Raw genomic sequence first — 18,017 nt, forward strand, 5'->3', positions numbered from 1 at the left:
TGACAGGCCTGGTCTACCACTCCAGGTGATGGCTGGAGAAACCACGGTCCAGAGAAGTCAGTGATTTGCCAGAGATTACATAGTCAAAGGCAAAGCTGAGGTTCATGAGCCAGGTCAGTGACCATACCCTCTCACCCCACACTCACCATACCCTGACACCCTGTGTGTGTTAGGGCCTAGTGCTATGCACTGCAGACGCTGGAGGAAGCAGGAGGAGAGGGAGTGAAGAAGGGAGAAAGCTTAGTTTCAGGGCAGATGCCAGACCTCTGGTCTCTGGGTGGGATTCCTGACTACACTCCTGAGCCCTTCAATCCAGGGGAAAGCCATCCCAACCCTGACCTTGAACCCTTAGGCCTCCATAATACTCGCTTTAGGTGGCAGCACCCTCGTGTGGCTACAGATGGTAACTACATAAAGTTACAGGTTTCCTCCCTCAAAAGGATGCCTCACTCCCCAGGGCCTCACCCTTCTGCAATCCCTCTGAGCCTCAAAAAGAGAAGATGGCCATTCATGGGGCTAATGGCGGGTGGCAAGGGCAGGATGACATGGACAGGGCACTGGGCTGGGAGTCAGGAACCCTCAGATAAAATCCTCACTTGGTTACTGACTGCGGGGCTTAAGTCTCAAACTCCTCATCTGTATAAAGGGCTGAAACATCTCTCCCTGACTCCCTAAAGCTTTCTACAAGGACCAATGGTATCTCAAATACAAAGTACTCTGTAAACTGTAAAGCACTGTGAGAGGGTAAGGGTTATTACATAAACTGAGGAATGCACATTGGAGGGACTCTGGAAGAGAGACCAAGAATGCCGGTACCCAGTGTGTGACGACAGCCCGGGCCATAGAATCCTTGGGACGGACTTGGTAGCAGAGTAATGGTGGTCAGAAGAGGGGGTGGCCCAGAGCCCAGGCCACTCCATGAAACCCAATCCTGCAGATGGAGGGGTCTGCCCCCATGCCCACCCCCTCGCATGATGAACTAAGGGGAAAGCTTTATTGATCAGAGTTGGTCTATCAAAAGACTTGCATCAGATCCTAGGACCTATTTCCACATCTATGAGATAGGGACAGCCGCATTCTTCACAGGGCTGTTGGTTCCCAGAACAGTTGTTGAGAACATGTGAAAACCATCTCATGTGTGACTTGACGCAGAGTCGGTTCACAACAAATGACATTATTATGTAAACTAATGAACAAAGATAGTTTTGTTCATCAAAAACTGTGCAGGGAAACTGGTATCATTTATTACACCAGTGTGCTGGACACAATTTAATTGCCATAATTTCCCATGACATGACAAGAGAGCCACTTTACATAGATCTGTTACCTTTGGTCCACTTCCAGCAAGGAATTTGGTGAAAGATGAGGTGAACTAACTTGCCCAAGTGCACACAGAGTGGCGAGACCCACATGTGACCCCAGGTCAATCTGACTGGAATCATGCTATCAGAGCAGCATGGACTGCAGTTCCCAATGCCCGCAGCATGCCACCTCTGCAAGCGCCATGATGGCTACTGCAGTGGGGAATGCTGGGAAAGGGCCCCAACGACAGCTGCTGAGGCAAAATCACATGCTGGACTGGAAACCTGCATCCCCTCAGCTTCCTTTTCTTCTCCCCCTATTCCCAGGGCCTGTTAGTGATTAGCCCTTCCCCTTGAGGGGCCCATGTGAAGTTCCTTCAACCATCCTGACGCTCCACTTCCAGACACCAGCTGGTGTGGGCTTCCACCTGGCCTCTCTGGCTGGACCCAGCCTGTAACTGCCAACACTTACCAAATCTGCCCCTGGAGCAAAGTCGGTGAAGAAGGGCAGATGGCATCCTCAGGCTAGGGCCACGGGCACAATTGTGAGCTCCAGCCTCCTGTGTTACAAGCTAAAAGAGGCTCCCCAGTCTGAAGAGATGAGCATGCTCAGACATTGGACTGCTTGGCAGGCCTCAGTAGTGGGCACAGGTTGGCAGGGAGCAAATGGAGCAGCCCAAACAGAGGAAACGCGGAGGAGGAGAGGCCCAGACAGACGGTGCTGTAACCCAGACAGCTCATCTCAGGGGCCCAAGGAGAATATTCTGATGTGCAGAGTTGGAAATCTGGATTTGTATGTGCAGTATCTTGATTCTGAATGCACTGGGCAGGCTGAACCAAACATCTTTGGTTTAAATTGGGCTCAAAGAGCCATTAGTTTGGCACCTCTCCTCCCACCCTCACAAAACAACAAAACAAGCAGAAAGAAGCATGAGCAGGAAAGGGCTGTCCTGGGGAACTACACTGGGGGTGGGGTGGGGGGAGAGGTTAAAATAAAGCACAAACCCAGATTCCAAAGTTCTGTATTTTTCAAAATAAAGATCACACATTGTTTAGAGACAATCTACACAAGAGTTACAAAAAATAGTTGCCCAGGCATAAGCATACACAGGTTTGTTAATTATACACATATGGTTACAAGTGTGCTTGCAAAAAAGTTCATTGGAAATATACACAAGGCTCTGGAAATGTACACCGTGTAGTGTTACAATTCTATATTCAAACAAGGAAAATTGACAGTATGTTACATTCACTTACAAGTAGACAAAATGCAAAATACAGTTCATCTTCTGTACAAAAGGGAAGGGCGATTCACACTTTACAAGGTGAGAGGGGCTCTGATTGTAAGGAAAGCTCGGGCAAGGCTAGACTTTTGCACGTCCTTTTGACTGTCACAAAATCAAAACATTACTTTTTTAGGATTAAAAAAACACTAGTGAGAACTCAATCTTGAATAACATTTAGAAAGAATCTCGCTATACTTGAGACTAGATGACAAATAAAACCAAGCTATTTTTTTCTTTTTAAACATTAACTAGGCTGTATAAAGAACATTTATTCCTTCAAAAGAAAAAAATTTACTTCTGGTTGAAATTACAATTTACAATATACAACACTATATGCTACGACCATAAAAGGTGAGAATATACACTGAATGCACAGGGCTGGCTAATTCTCTTTTCTTACCAAAAAACGTGTTTATGTTGATTCAAACTTCTCCACATTTACATTACAGGTATACAAATGTACAATTGTACAATCAAAAGTATGTTCGACTACTAGGGTACATTATAGATACAGATTAGACATCAAAACAAGAAAATACTACAAATTTGTATATATGCAAAGTCTACACCAAGTATACACTATATATTTATAGAAGCAAGACCAAAAGCAGAGTTGGATTTTTTTTTCTCATGCTAAATAATCAGATTTTACCTTTCAATGTTAATAGAAAAAAATCCAGTAGGCAGTAAACAATCACACCCGCCCAGCCTCAAAAGACGTTCTGGGTGCTCGCATCTCCTCCTCACGAACAGCCTTCTTCAGCATAATATAGTCTCCAAAAAAGGCATTTTTTAGAATTTCATAAACTTAATGTCACAAACTGAAGCTTTAGCAACTCTGAAACCTTTTTCATTATATATATATATATATATATATATATTTTTTATAAACAGTGTTAAATGCCAGTTTGGGGTCATTTAACTACAATTCAAACTTCTCAGGTTTTTTTGTTTTTGTTTGTTTTTTACTAAAATGAGGAGGTGGGGAAGAGCTATTTGCAAAACTTGCCGGCCAGGCAAATGAGCTAAAAACCTTTTCCTTTTTTTCTTTTTTTTTTAAAGCTTTTTTTTTTTGTTAAACCAACCACCCTGAAAGTTTCCACATGTGAAATATAGATACAACAGTGAACAAAATATGTGGCCTCCCATGTACATTGGTTACCTATGTACAAGTATCCTATACACCAGTAAAACAGCAGGGCAATTAGTCAATTAAAAAAAATAGTACATGTTATGTGTAATAAAATTAAATTTACAAAGGCTTTTCCACTCGTGGATTTGATTCCTTTTTTGGAGGAGGGAGTAATCCTGGAGCAACCACTTGCCCGTCTCAGACTCTACACTAGAACATTTCTGGTTGCTGGTTGGATTTGCCAGTGGGCCAGTGAGGTCAGCGGGAATGAGGGAACAGCGGGTGACACTGCCTCAGATGATACCATTAGGGGGGCCACAGATGGGCCCTAAGTCAACACCGTTCTTCATGTAGTACTTCTCCAGCTTGGCCAGAATGTGCTTGCCATAGGTGTACTTACGAAGAGTTGCGATGTGGGGCCGGATCTGGGGAGGAAAGACAGTCTGTGTTACATGGCCTGAGATGAGACTTGGGGGCAGGCTTCCCGGACATGCATTTGCATGTCATGCATCACACACACATACACACACACACACACACACACACACACACACACACACACACACACCCCTACAGCAATACCTTTCACTGGCTCAGCCCAGTCCCCTGACTTCTAGCACTTTGGCAACCCATCAGATGAGGAGAGGAGCTCCTACCCTGAGTGGTGCCACAGGGCCTGAGGACCCTGGAGGCTGGGTGGCCATGGGCCACTCCCAGGACAACACATGGAGAAAGTGCATCCTAGCTGGGAAAATACACTGCCCACTACCCGCCAGCTGCACAGTGCTTCCCTGCAAGCATGAGCACAGGCCCCTCTGGCCCCATGCACGGCATCCAGGCTCTCCTGAGCAGTGGGGGTTATTTCGGGTCACCAGAATCCTGAGCTCACCACTTGACCCTGTCTCTCCAGGTCACAGTGGATCACAGAAAGCTAATCAATGACAAGAAGAGAAATGATGAACATCATGAGCTGGTGTGATTATCCCCATCTTACTGACAGAAAACATGAAGGCACAGAGTAGTTAAGTCACTCAGCCAAGGTTGAATGGCTAACAAAGGACAGCACAGATAGCTGAGCCCAAACTGTGTGGCTCCTCCACGAATCAGGTTTCTCCCCACTGTGCTCTCAAGGCACGCCCGCCACACCAGCCTCATCCCTCAGGCTCTCCGACCTATGCTCTGAGTCACTTCTCCAAGCATTCCTTTCTGTTCTTCCTTCCCTGGGCTGATCATTTCAAGAAGTCCTACATTCCAGAAAACTTGAGAGGTGCTTCTTCTCTGGAAGCCCCTTTTCTTTTCTGTGAGCTCAGGGAGCATTCTACATACCTCAGCTGTGTCTGCTATCTTTTGCTTAATTATCAATCTTTCCATATAAACAGTAAAGGACCACAGTTTATTCATCAGATTCCCCATCCAAACCTGCACCTGCATACATAAACGCACTGGATAAATGTACCGCAGTAGACAGAGGCTCTCCAGGTTGAGAGCTCCATGAGGGCACCAATTTTTGTCTGTTTAGCTGTGTCCTCAAAGCAAGGAAGGGTTGATCCGGTCTAGAAATCACCTGCGCATGCTTCCCAGGACACAGAGCTGCATCGGGTGTCACATTCCCACTTTGGAGCCTACAGGGGAAACTGGCTGGTGGCAAACAGTCCTTGGTTCCAGTTTCACCTCCCTTAAACTCACCTGTAAAACGGCGTATGCAATAATGCTATACTTTCCTTTCAGTTGTAATACTATGTTACTAATGTTTCTGTCATGAGAACTTGAGGTTCAAGATCCCCTTGCTTTTGGTAGCTTTCCTTTTAGAAAATAACTGAAATCCAATCCATTCCTCTGTCCCTGGAACTGGCTGCTGACAAGTCCAGGCACTTCACCTTTGTACTTCCCCAGAACAAAACAAAACAAAAAACCCCTAACAAGCCACACACACACATGTTGAACTCCATTTTTTATTGGATTTAACAAGAAGTGAAACGTTAATTACCTGCTTCTCTCCTTATGTCCCTTTTGCTGAAAAGGATACCACTTAGTAATGGAAGAGCTGAAAAACTAAGAGGGCTTCTCAGGACTCTCCCCGTCAACTCCCTCAGCCAACCAACTGCTAAGCCCTACCAATTCTAGCACCCTATTCTGTCCACTTCTCTTCAATCCCAAACCACCACCATCTGGTGCCTTGACGGCCTCCCATGTGGTCTCATCACTGCCTCCCTCCTCTAAACTACAAAGGCCACATGGCAGCCAGGACAATTATTTGAAATATACGTGTGATTTTGTCACCACACTCCTCCTCCACTGAACTTGTTTTACTTCTTCAGATACAACACGGTCTGGTCTCTGGCGTCCAAGTCTTCACACACCACGTTCCCTCTTCTGGAAAGGGTCATCACTCTATTAAGTATCACTCCGTTAGAGAGCCTCCTCTGTACCCACACGTTATAGAAGACACCCTGCCCATTCCTGGACAACCCTTTCCCCTGTATTTCTCCAGTGTCCCAGTAACTATCTGTGCACAGCACTATCACGTTTACCAATACAACCCTGCTGAGAATACGACCTGCTGTACAACAGGTGTTTAGCACTGAATGAATGAATGAATAGACATGTCTTAAGCTCCTACTTACCTCCAACATTCCCTCTGCCTTCACCAGCATCCTGAAAACTTACAACTTTAAGAACCTGGGACTCCCCCAGCCTTCAACTGCCACTGCCAACACCAGTGCAGTGGTTTGGATTGGTTTAGCTTGACTCAGGGGTGGTGGGTGTCTTGTCTGGCTCAGAACTTGAGTCCATTAACAAAGATTCTCATTACCGAACTTTGTTCTCAGTGAGGGCAAGTGGGTCATCATTGCCAGACAATGGCCAACCAACCCCTCAATTGAGAAGGGCTCAGTGAGTTCAGAGCCCAAAAGCTGCAGGCTCAGATGAGAAGCACCGGAGGCTGGAGGCACTGCCCAGCACAAACACAACTGTAGCACACCCTGCCTGTGGGTCTGTTTTGCCTCCTGGGCCCTGTGGTGTCTGCAGTGCTCACTGGACCCACGCCGTGACTTGTCAAGAAGCTGTGGGCCTGTTCAGGTGACTTCTCTTTCAGTTCCCCACTCACAGCACCTAAGCATTCTCATTTCTGTTCCTTCTTCCCTGTCTAACTCTTCTTTAGCCTTGCCTTCTCCTGCAAAGCCGGCCCTCAGGGACTCTGGGAAGGGTGAGGGGTCCTTCTCATGTCCTCACCACTGCTCACCACCATGGCTCTTCCCCACCAGAATGTACTCTGTGGGCAGGGATCAGGTGTTAGTCATCTCTGTGCTGATGAAGTCTGGCACAGAGTGGGCTTCAGGTCAATGTACCAGGCTATGCACCATGCTGGGCAGGCCTTTGTTCAATAGATGTTGGTGGGATGAAAGAACAGAAGGGAGGAGTGAGAAAAGGAAATGAGGCAAGTTGATTTGTTGGACTCATAAGCTGATTCTCTAGAGATCAGGGATGGAAATATTTCAAAAAATGTAGCTTAAGATTCTCATACCAGTGTGGCTATTGATAAGGGAGGGTTGGCAAATGTGTAAGGACAATGGTGACTCCACATAAAAGAAAAACAGAACACAGCATGGGACAGAGGTCAGTGACAAACTCTTCAAAAACAGCAGGGCACCCACCCTCCTTTGTGTTTCAGAAAGGAAGCCAAGGCCTTGCACACTTTCTCTGAGACCCTGCCCAGCCCGGCCTACCTTATGCATGACGATCTTCCGCTGGCCTGGCTCCGCCACGTCAATCATCTTCTGGACCACGTAGTTGGCATACTGGTCCTTCATCATGGTGTATAAGGCACTGTGGGGACCGTCGTTCATGGTGCACACCTCATCGATGAGCACAGCGCGCTCCGTACGTGAGGCGTGAGTAACACACTTCTCCACAACATTGCTGTAATGAGATAAAACCAGGGACAACTCTTACAAGAGAGGCCCCTGTTAGTGAGGCTGTGCTTGCCTAGCTTCTGCCCTGACCTCCGGACCAGCAGGGAGAGAGAGCTATTTAACATTTGAGGAAGATGAGTCGCCAACTGTCTGACTCTCTCAGTCTCTGACTCTCCACCTGTGCCATCTGTGGCATCCAATCGTAGGAAAGGGGGAACGTGGCATTAAATCAGATTTTTTCTCCAATCCACGGGGACTATAGAGGGTGATCAAATTATACACTGCCATACTACTGCATACTGACCACCCAGAGAGACCAGGTCTTCAAGGACATGGGACCCGGCCCTCTAACGGGTAAGGGTAAGGAGCCCAGGTAGGTGAGGAGACTTAAGCACAAGGTTCAGGACACTGGTTCACCACCAGCTGGTTATTATTTTAACACTTACCAAAATCTGTCCATTCTTTCCTCGCCTTTGTCAGTTCACCAAGGCCAGGAACAAACCTTACTTATGCCTATCTCCCTGCTGCCAAGCAGGGCATGGTGGTGCATGCCTGTAATCCCAGCTACTTGGGAGGTTGAGGCAGGAGAATTGCTTGAATCGGGAGGCGGAGGTTGCAGTGAGCCGAGATTGTGCCACTGCACTCCAGCCTGAGCGACAGAGCAAGACTCCATCTCGAACTCCTGACCTCGTTATCTGCCCACCTCAGCCTCCCAAAGTGCTGAGATTACAGGCATGAGCCACCATGCCTGGCCTCAAATAAGTAATTTTTTTTTAAGTAAAAATAGAAATTTTAGAAAAGGAAAATATAACATCAGAAATAAAATTTACTGTATGGCTTTAATAGTGGATTAGAGATGACAGAAGAGTCAATGAACTTGAAAATAGATCAATAGAAGTAAACAAAAAAATACATCAGTGGCTTTCAGACATTTATTTTTTATTTTATTTTCATTTTTGAGACAGGGTCTCACTCTGTCACCCAGGCTGGAGTGCAATGGCATGATCTCGGCTCACTGCAACTTCTGCCTCCCGGATTCAAATAATTCTTCTCCTGCCTCAGCCTCCCGAGCACCTGGGATTACAGATGTCCGCCATGACACCGGGCTAATTTTTGTATTTTTAGTAGAGACGGGGTTTCACCATGTTGGTCAGGCTGGGCTCAAACTCCCAACCTCAAGCAATCTGCCCGCCTCAGCCTCCCAAAGTGCTGGGATTATAGGCATAAGCCACCGCACCCGGCCCTATTTTTATTTTTGTAGAGGCAGGATCTTGCTGTGTTGCCCAGGCTAGTCTTGAACTCTTGGCCTCAAGCAATCCTTCTGCCTCGGCCTTCCAACATGCTGGGGTTACAGGCATGAGCCACTGTTCCTGCTTTCAGACATTTTTGATGGTGACCCAGAGTACAAAGTAAATTTTTCCACCATTTGAAAAAATTTTTGTTTGAGACAGTCTCGCTCTGTCACCTAGGCTGGCGTGCAGTGGCACGATCTCGACTCACTGCAACCTCCACCTCCTAGGTTCAAGCCATTCTCCTGACTCAGCCTCCCAAGTAGCTGGGACTATAGGCGTGTGCCACCACGCCCAGCTAATTTTTGTTATTTTCAGTAGAGATGGGTTTCCGCATGTTGACCAAGCTGGTCTGGAACTCCTGGCCTCAAGTGATTTGCCTGCCTTGGCCTCCCAAAGTGTTGGGATTACAGGTATGAGCTACCGTCTCCAGCCCCTATTTTTTCTTTTTAAAATAAGATTCTCAGCCGGGCACGGTGGCTGACACCTGTAATCCCAGCACTTTGGGAGGCCAAGGCAGATGGATCATGAGGTCAGGAGATCGAGACCATCCTGGCTAACATGGTGAAACCCTGTCTCTACTAAAAATACAAAAAAATTAGCCGGGAGTGGTGGCGGACACCTGTAGTCCCAGCTACTCGGGAGGCTGAGGCAGGAGAATGGTGTGAACCCAGGAGGCAGAGCTTGCAGTAAGCCAAGATTGCGCCACCGTACTCCAGCCTGGGCGACAGAGCGAGACTCCATCTCATTCATAGATAGAGATAGATAGATAGATAGATAGATAGATAGACAGACAGACAGACAGACAGACAGACAGACAGACAGACAGATAGACAGATAGACAGATACATACATACATACATAATTTTCTACTAAAATCTCCTATCTTTTCATTCACTACAGCATATTTTCCTTTACAACCTGAGTATATTTAAACAGCTGCTGTATAATCCTTCTTTACTAATTCCAATAACTGGGTCATTTTAGACTACCCACTGATTTTTATTTCTTTTTTCTTGAGTATAGGTCACATTTTCCTATTATCCAGATAGACACTGCGAATAACAGGCTACAGAAACTCAGACTTCTGCTATGTTCCACCAAAGAGAAGTGCCCTCCACTCCTGTTTTAGTGCAGTTAACTTGGCTATAGTCAAACTACAAACTTCTCCCATACAGTAAGCAGCAGCTGAAATCCCAGTTCAATTCTTTCAGCCTTAGCTGGAAATGTGGTTCAGGGGTCAGCCGGACTTGGGGGAAGGTTAAAACTGGGCCCCCCCGAACCCCTTCCGGCTCTCTCCCTTTCTAGGATTTCTCTTTGTTGTGGCTGCCCTGAGGATTGCCTATTCCAGCTTTAGCTGCCCAGCATGGAAAAGACTGGGAAGTGACCACAGGCTAACAGCCATCAGAAATAAGAAATTTCCCCAGTGCAATTCTCTTCTTCCAAATGCCAGCCCCCACCTCTCTGGTCTCCACCTGCCCTTTGGTTACTCTCTAGTGTCTTCAGGTAGTTCTTGTATTTTTGTCCACAGTTTACACATGTTATCAATGGGAGGACTGGGCCCACAGTAGCTACTCAGTTATTAATTGTTGTAGCTGGACATGGTGGTGTGCACCTACAGTCCCAGCTACTTAGGAGGTTGAGGTGGGAGGACTGCTTGAGCCCAGGAATCCTAGGCTGCAGTGAGCTAGGAGTGCACCACTGCACTCCAGCCAGGGCAACAGACTCTGTCCCTTAAAAAAATAAAAACTTCTTTTTTTTTAAATTGTTTTTGAATTTGTTGTAATATTAATTAATGCTTAGGCTATATCCAAGGGTGAGAAATTAAATACTGTGAACAAAAATGTAAACAGGAGACTGACCCGAAGAAGAGAACCCAAGAGATTCTGATCCCCATTCCTCAGTCCTGGCAACCGGTCAAAAGGAACCCCCCAAAACAAAACAATATAAAGTCGTAAGAGATAACCCTGATAGGGCTAGGCTATGGAGACACTGGATCTACAGGTACTTTCATTTCTTTTCTCTGTTTTTCCATGCTGTGACATGTTATAAAATTTCACAAATTTAAAATGAATGAGGCCAGGTACTGGTGGCTCGTGCTGGTAATCCCAGCACTTTGGGAGGCCTAAGTGGGAGGATTAAGTCCAGGAGTTCAAGACCAGCCCCTGGCCAATATGGTGAAACCCTGTCTCTACAAAAATAAAAAAAAGTAGCTGGGCGTGGTGGCGTGCGCCTGCAGTCCCAGCTACTTGAAAGCCTGAGGTAGGAGGATCGCTTGAGCCTGAGAGGTGGAGCTTGCAGTGAGCCGACACTGTGCCACTGCACTCAAGCCTGGGCGACAGAGCGTGACCCTGTCTCAAAAAATAACATAAATTAAAAACATCAAGGTTGTATGAGTCCTGTCCTGCCTTGCAATTTATTCTAAAAACCAGGGAAGAATATATTCCAAAAATAAAAAATAGTATGTTATGTGGGCAGTAGGACATATACAGTATCTTCTCAGAAGACTATACCACTATCCACATGGAAGGGCCATTGATTCCTTCTCCAACCTCTGCTACTTATAAGTGACCTAAGACACCTTTCACAACCTGGGAATAACTACTGCATTTCATTCTTGAGCTTGCACAATATGAAGACTGGAAAAGAGATCCTAAGAATACTAAGGCCTATATATAGATATGCATATGGTAAACTGCCTTTCTTTCAGGTGCTAAAAAGGGAAACTGAATAAACAACATTTCACAATTCCAAACAAACAAGTTAATAAAATATTCAGTTCATCAAAGTGTAACACTCACATTCTTTAGTAACATATTCCCCAGATTTCAAAGTGGCTGACTCTATCAGAGTAAGAAGCCCACTAAGGGACCTCTCAGAGTTTATACTTTGTAATAAAACTATTTGACTTTTAAGCTATATATACTTTGAAAACAACAACAACAACAACAACATTAAAAAATAAGATAATTATAGTTCAATACTACTAATCCTCTCTTCTGGGAAATAGTCCTTGTAACTCAAAGCACGTACCTTGCAAATTTGTGCTGACTCAATACAAGTACATTGCCTCGGATTTCTGCTACAATTTTGCTTTTATCCTCAGGACGACCGTGCTCCAGTACATGTTGGATTACATAATTTCCATATTGATCCTGTTTGAGAAACAGTAAGAGAAATAAAATGTATGTGAAAGCCAGTTCTGCAGGTTACTTAAGTCCTTATATCTAATTAAAACCTGTCTTTCTTTTACCACCATAACGGTTTATATGAATACTAATGAACACACAATTTTTAAGACAGGTAGTAACGTTCTTCTCTATTATTACAAAACAGGAACATATTATTACTAGACAATAGAATATACATATTCATTTTTAAAAGGGGAGGGAGTGTTATGGCAGTAAATATTCATTTTTCTCAAACACATATACAAATGGTTCACTGCACCTATCTATAACAGAGAAAAACTGGAAATATTTATGTCCAACAAAAAACAAGGGCATACCTAATTATTTAATCAGTGGTATAAGCAGAGAATGTATCAAAGCTAAAAACAAGAAATCAACAAATCAACTTATTTCATTTAACGATTATGAAACAGAGACCCAGAGGGATTAAATGTCTACCTAAGGTGACACCACAAGTACATGACAGAGTTCTGGAAGTCAGATCTCCTGACTCCAGGGCTAGGGCTCAATTCACTACCCATATTCATAAAACACAAACCAAGCTGCTCTGAATACAAATACAACCACAAGATTCAAGGGTATTTAAAACACATTAACCTCTTCTGGAACCTACACTGACAAAACACACAAACTCTGGCCCTGCACAAGCCCACAGGTGTTCGCAGTTCCTCTACTGGCAACTCCACTACCTGTACAAGCTGCTCTGTGTGCTGGTGAAGCTCCTCTAAAATAGGGAGTGTCTGGTCAGGGAGACAGTGCTCCAGGATTCTCTGAATCACTCGGCAGCCATAAGGATGTGTGGATAAGGCAAATACCTAAGGGTAGACAAACACAAATGAGAAGCAAAAATGACAGTCACCACCTTCAATGCTTCAGTATTGTTTATATATATATATATATATATATATATATATATATATATATATATGTATTATCCCACTAATCTTCACAAATGAACTTAATGGCATTTAAGTTCTCTCTACATATAATAAGGTGTGTGTGTATCAATAAACTCATCGCTTATCTATTTTAGGAATTCATAGATGTGCACAATTCAGAGCTGAAAAGGACTTTTCCAAGCCGCCAAGAAACAGATAGCTAGTCAAAGTCATGAAAAACACACTTAGTTAAGAGTCAAGTGTGTCAACTGACAACCTCTCCAAAAGACAGCGCTAACAACAGAAAAGGGAAGGACTGGGACCAAATCCTGAATGCTTTCACACCGCCAGAACAACCAGAATGCAATGTTCTGATTTAACTGTGATGTTTTTCAGCAATAAGAAAAGATTCTTTTGCTGGGTTTGGAGCAATAGAAAAGCACACTACCCTTGAGATTCTGCCCTTCCTAGCTTAGTGGCATACATCTCACAACTGTAATCAAGAACAATAATAAGAGCAATAATAGCAGCTAACACTTACTGGATGCTTGCCAAGTGTAAGTCATCACACCCAGTGCTTTCTGTATGATTTTGTTTTGTTTTGGAGACAAGGCTGGAGCGCAATGGTGATCACAGCTCACTGCAGCCTTGAGCTCTTGCACTCAGGTCATCCTCCTGCCTCAGCTTCCCAAGTTGCTGGGACTACAGGCACTTGCCACCACATCTGGCTACTTTAAAAAAAAATTGTGTGTAGAGACGGAGATTCGCTATGTTGCCCAGGCTGTTCCTGTACTCCTAGCCTTAAGCAATCCTCCCACCTTGGCCTCCCAAAGTGCCTGGATTACAGGTGTGAGCCACTGCACCTAGCCTTATGTGTGACTTTATACATGTAGCTTTATATTTACAATCGTAAAGATAAATAGTATACTGTATGGTTCTCCTTGAATTTAGCTTTATAAAAATGCTACACTTGTAGTCTGGAGCAACTTGATTTATTTCACTCAACATTATGATTCCCATGTTCATTTACAATACTGTGAGTTTCTGTAGTTTATTCTGCATGGTATATACAAAGAATTTTTTTTTTTTTTATTAGACAGAGTTTCACTCTTGTTGCCTAGGCTGGAGTGCAATGGCACCATCTCGGCTCACTGCAACCTCCGCCTCCCGGGCTCAAGCAATTCTCCTGCTTCAGCCTCCCAAGTAGCTGGGATTACAGGCACCCGGCTAATTTTTTGTATTTCTAGTAGAGACGGGGTTTCACCGTGTTGGCCAGGCTGGTCTCGAACTCCTGACCTCAGGTGATCCACCCGTCTCAGCCTCCCAAAGTGCTGGGATTACAGGTGTGAACCACCGTGCCCGGCCATGTATATGACATTTTTAAAAAATGCAATCCCCTGCTCATGGTCTTCTGGGTTCCTTAAGTCTTTTAAGAGAATAATGGTGTTTAAACATGTCTAAAAGGTCTCATGGTATACATGTACAGATATTTCAACAGGATCACAGAAATTATGAAGGTTGAAATTTGAAAGACAATACTAAATTATTTTCCAAAATGGTTGTGCCAATGTCTATTCCCACCAGCAGTGTACCTCATTCCTGTCAGCACATAGCAACTGATGGGTAAATAATAGTCTATTATTTGTGGCTTAATTTTGCATTTTCCTTGTTCCTAATGGAACTGAGTATTTTTTCATGTCTACTGGCAATTTGTGTTTCTTCTATGAAATGTCAACTTGTGTTCTGGGCTCACTTTTACATCATGTTGTATTGTTTTCTTTCATTAGAGAGGTTCTTTATACATTCTAGTTATCAATCCTTTGACCGTCGCATCTTGAAAATATTCTCTCCTGGTGGATTTATCGTTTTATCTTTTTTGTTGTATAATTCCATAAATGTAACATCTTAATGTTAAGGTAAACAGATCTACCCTTTTTTCTTTAACTCAGAAACTCCCAATAACCACGTGGGTTGCTGTCAGTGATCAACCATTGTGGTCATTGAGCAAACAGCAAAACCTAAAGATTACTACACATCACATATCACTCTATACTCAGCAGTACATAAATTATACCTGAAAATCTATGTGCTTTTTCTCATTTTTCCCCCTTCCCTAAAGAAAGACCAATTTCACACACCCAAAGGGGAGCTGAGTTTTACTGTCCTGTCCCACCCACCTTAGGAGACTGTAAGGACTTTGTGTTTTGGAAAAAAACAAAACAAACAAACAAACAAAAAAACACAAAACTATAGCCAATTCAGAAGCAATTCTGGAAAAAGGTATTTACATATAAAAGTAACAATCTTACTTGGAAGCTGAAGCTAAGAAGAGATTTTTGATATACAGGAAAACAGGAGAAACTAGAAGTTATCTCTGGTTATTTGGCCATTTAATACAATTCAAACCAACCTGGACTGCATCCCTTCCAAAAAAATTTAAGCAAAAAGCACCTTGTTATTTTAAAGATATATTCACACATGACCTACAACATTAGTACCGTAAATTACCTGAATTTTAAACCAAATTTAAAACGAAAGCACTGAAATATCAGAATAAATAGTACTTAACCAAGGGAAATAATTTATTCTTCAAATATGAGATTTCATCTTAAAAACTCTTATGATGGTGTTTCATCCCAATGTGAGCAGACAACTGCATTAATGACGGAAAGAAGACCGAGACCCAGACACTTGGCAACACACAGACAGGTACCTGACAGTACTATACAGGACTGCTTTTTACTGCAGTCTAAAGTACATTAAGATCAGGCACAGTGGCTCATGCCTGTAATCCCAGCAACTTCGGGAGGCTGAGGCAGGTGGATTGCTTGAGTGCAGGAATTCAAGACCAGCCTGGGCAACATGGTGAGGCCACTGTCTCTACAAAAAATTTAAAAATGAGCCAGGTGTGGTGGTATGTGCCTGTAATTCCAGCTACTTGGGAGGCTGAGGGGGGAGGATTGCTTGAACCTGGCAGTTCAAGGCTGTAGTGAGCCGTGATGGTGCCACTGCACTCCAGCCTGGGCAACAGAGTGGGATCCAGTCTCAAAAAAAATAAAGTACATTAAGCATATTGAGAACATGCCACAAATCCTACTCTGTTTTCTGCTCACAAAGGAAATAAATTTGTTTCCATTATTTCTCTCCTGGGTCACTTACCTGTCCCTTAAACGCATCGATGATAAATTGCAAAGACTGGGGCTGTACACATTCAATGCATTTCTGAACCACGTGATTGCCATTCTGATCTTTCACACACTTCAAGACATGGCCATCTAGTTCCCGAACCATCTCATTCTAATGGAGACAAAGAAAGCACCACCAGAATCACAGCAAGCAAACATGTGGACAAATAATATTCTTTTCACCAAACATGAAAGCACTACTGAACAGAGAATCTGTGATGATGAAAGTGGAATAGCAGCTGTGGAACAATGACAACAGGGAAACAAATGAGGACCTGAGTCTTTTCAGACATTAGCCAATTTACAGTAAAATTTCCAACAATAAATTTACTGTAACAATAACCAGTAACCAAAAAGATCTCACACCTGTAAAAACAAAAAACAAAGAAAAGCCTCTTAAGAGTGCTTTTGTGTTTTTATTTTATTTTTTTTGAGACGGAGTCTTGCTCTGTTACCCAGGCTAGAGTACAGTGGTACAATCTCAGCTCACTGCAACCTCCGCCTCCCAGGTTCAAGCAATTCTCCTGTCTCAGCCTCCCGAGTAGCTGGGATTACAGGTGTGTACCACCACACCTGGCTAATTTTTGTATTTTTACTAGAGACGGGGTCTTGCCATGTTGGCCAGGCTGTCTCGAACTCCTGACCTCAGGAGATCTGCCCTCTTTGGCCTCCCCAAGTGCTGGAATTACAGGCATGAGCCACCACACCCGGCCAACTCCTAGAGCTTAAAAAAAAATAAAGGGTAGACATCTTCAAATACAAAGAAGCCTACATCAGGAACAGATACTCCTTAACTTAGAAAAGAATTACATTCCAATTATAAGTTGAAAATATCATTAACTAAAAAATGCATTTAAATATCCCTAATTTACAGAACATCATAGCTAATCCTAGGCCCTCAGAAGTGCTCAGAGCATTTACAGTACCCTAGAGTTGGACAAAATTATTTATCACAGAGCCTATAATTAAAAAAAAAAAAATCATAGGCCAGGTGCAGTGGCTCATGCCTGTAACCCCAGCAATTTGGGAGGCCTAGGTGGGCAGATCACAAGGTCAGGAGTTCGAGACCAGCCTAGCCAAGATGGTGAAACCCCATCTCTACTAAAAATACAAAAATTAGCTGGGCATGGTGGTGCGCGCCTGTAATCTCAGCTACTCGGGAGGCTGAGGCAGGAGAATTTCTTGAACCGTGGAGGCGGAGGTTGCAGTGAGGCAAGATTGTGCCACTGCACTCCAGCCTGAGCGACAGAGCGAGACTCTGTCTCAAAAAAAAAAAAAAAATTATTTTATATATATACTTATATACATATATATAATAAAAACAATAAAAAAGATTCAAAGTACAGTTTTGAAAAATCATAAGTCAGGGGCTATTTGCACACTGTATTAAAGAATTTCTACATGGCACACAGCCATAATCCCAGCTACTCTGGAGGCTGAGGTGGGAGGATCACCTGAGCCCAGGAGTTTGAGGCTGCAGTGAGCTACGGTAACACCACCAGAAGCCTGGGTGACAGAGCAACACCCTGTCTCTAAAAATAAAACTAAACCAAACTAAAGAATTTCACATACAATTAATCGTGTTTTTATTATGATAACTCTGTAAAGTATGACTAGTAATGATACTAATTAAGCTAGAGTTTACCCCTGGTTAGGCATACCTCTAACCGTGTAACATGTTTTAATTAAATTTTCCTAACAGTCTTACGGAGTGGACACCACCATAGATGGAGACACCAAGGAAGAGGCAAATTAAAAGACTTACAAAACTATAGACCTAGATTCCCAACATTCAAACCCAAGCAATCTGGCTGAACTGTATGGTAAACCACTATATCAGTAAA

At 43.7% G+C, this 18,017-nt stretch overlaps 1 protein-coding gene and 1 non-coding gene across 3 annotated transcripts in view; both read right to left on the reverse strand.

The window, feature by feature from the left end:
* Positions 1-2,307: 2,307 nt before the first annotated feature.
* The window catches only part of PUM1 (pumilio RNA binding family member 1), a 134,212-nt gene continuing 118,502 nt past the window's right edge, over positions 2,308-18,017 (reverse strand). For both annotated transcript variants that reach the window (NM_014676.3, NM_001020658.2), the window contains exons 18-22: positions 16,148-16,285; positions 12,800-12,925; positions 11,953-12,074; positions 7,445-7,637; positions 2,308-4,144 (exon numbers count right to left, since the gene is read on the reverse strand). In NM_014676.3, coding sequence (NP_055491.1) covers positions 4,013-4,144; positions 7,445-7,637; positions 11,953-12,074; positions 12,800-12,925; positions 16,148-16,285 — 711 coding nt within the window. In that variant the 3' untranslated portion in view covers positions 2,308-4,012. The remainder of the gene's footprint in view (positions 4,145-7,444; positions 7,638-11,952; positions 12,075-12,799; positions 12,926-16,147; positions 16,286-18,017) is intronic.
* Positions 6,491-6,578, reverse strand: SNORD103A (small nucleolar RNA, C/D box 103A). Its single transcript, NR_004054.2, has one exon. It is a non-coding gene; the product is annotated as a small nucleolar RNA, C/D box 103A (small nucleolar RNA).

This window comes from Homo sapiens, chromosome 1, assembly GCF_000001405.40.
Source record: "Homo sapiens chromosome 1, GRCh38.p14 Primary Assembly".
Classification (NCBI taxonomy): Eukaryota; Metazoa; Chordata; class Mammalia; order Primates; family Hominidae; genus Homo; species Homo sapiens.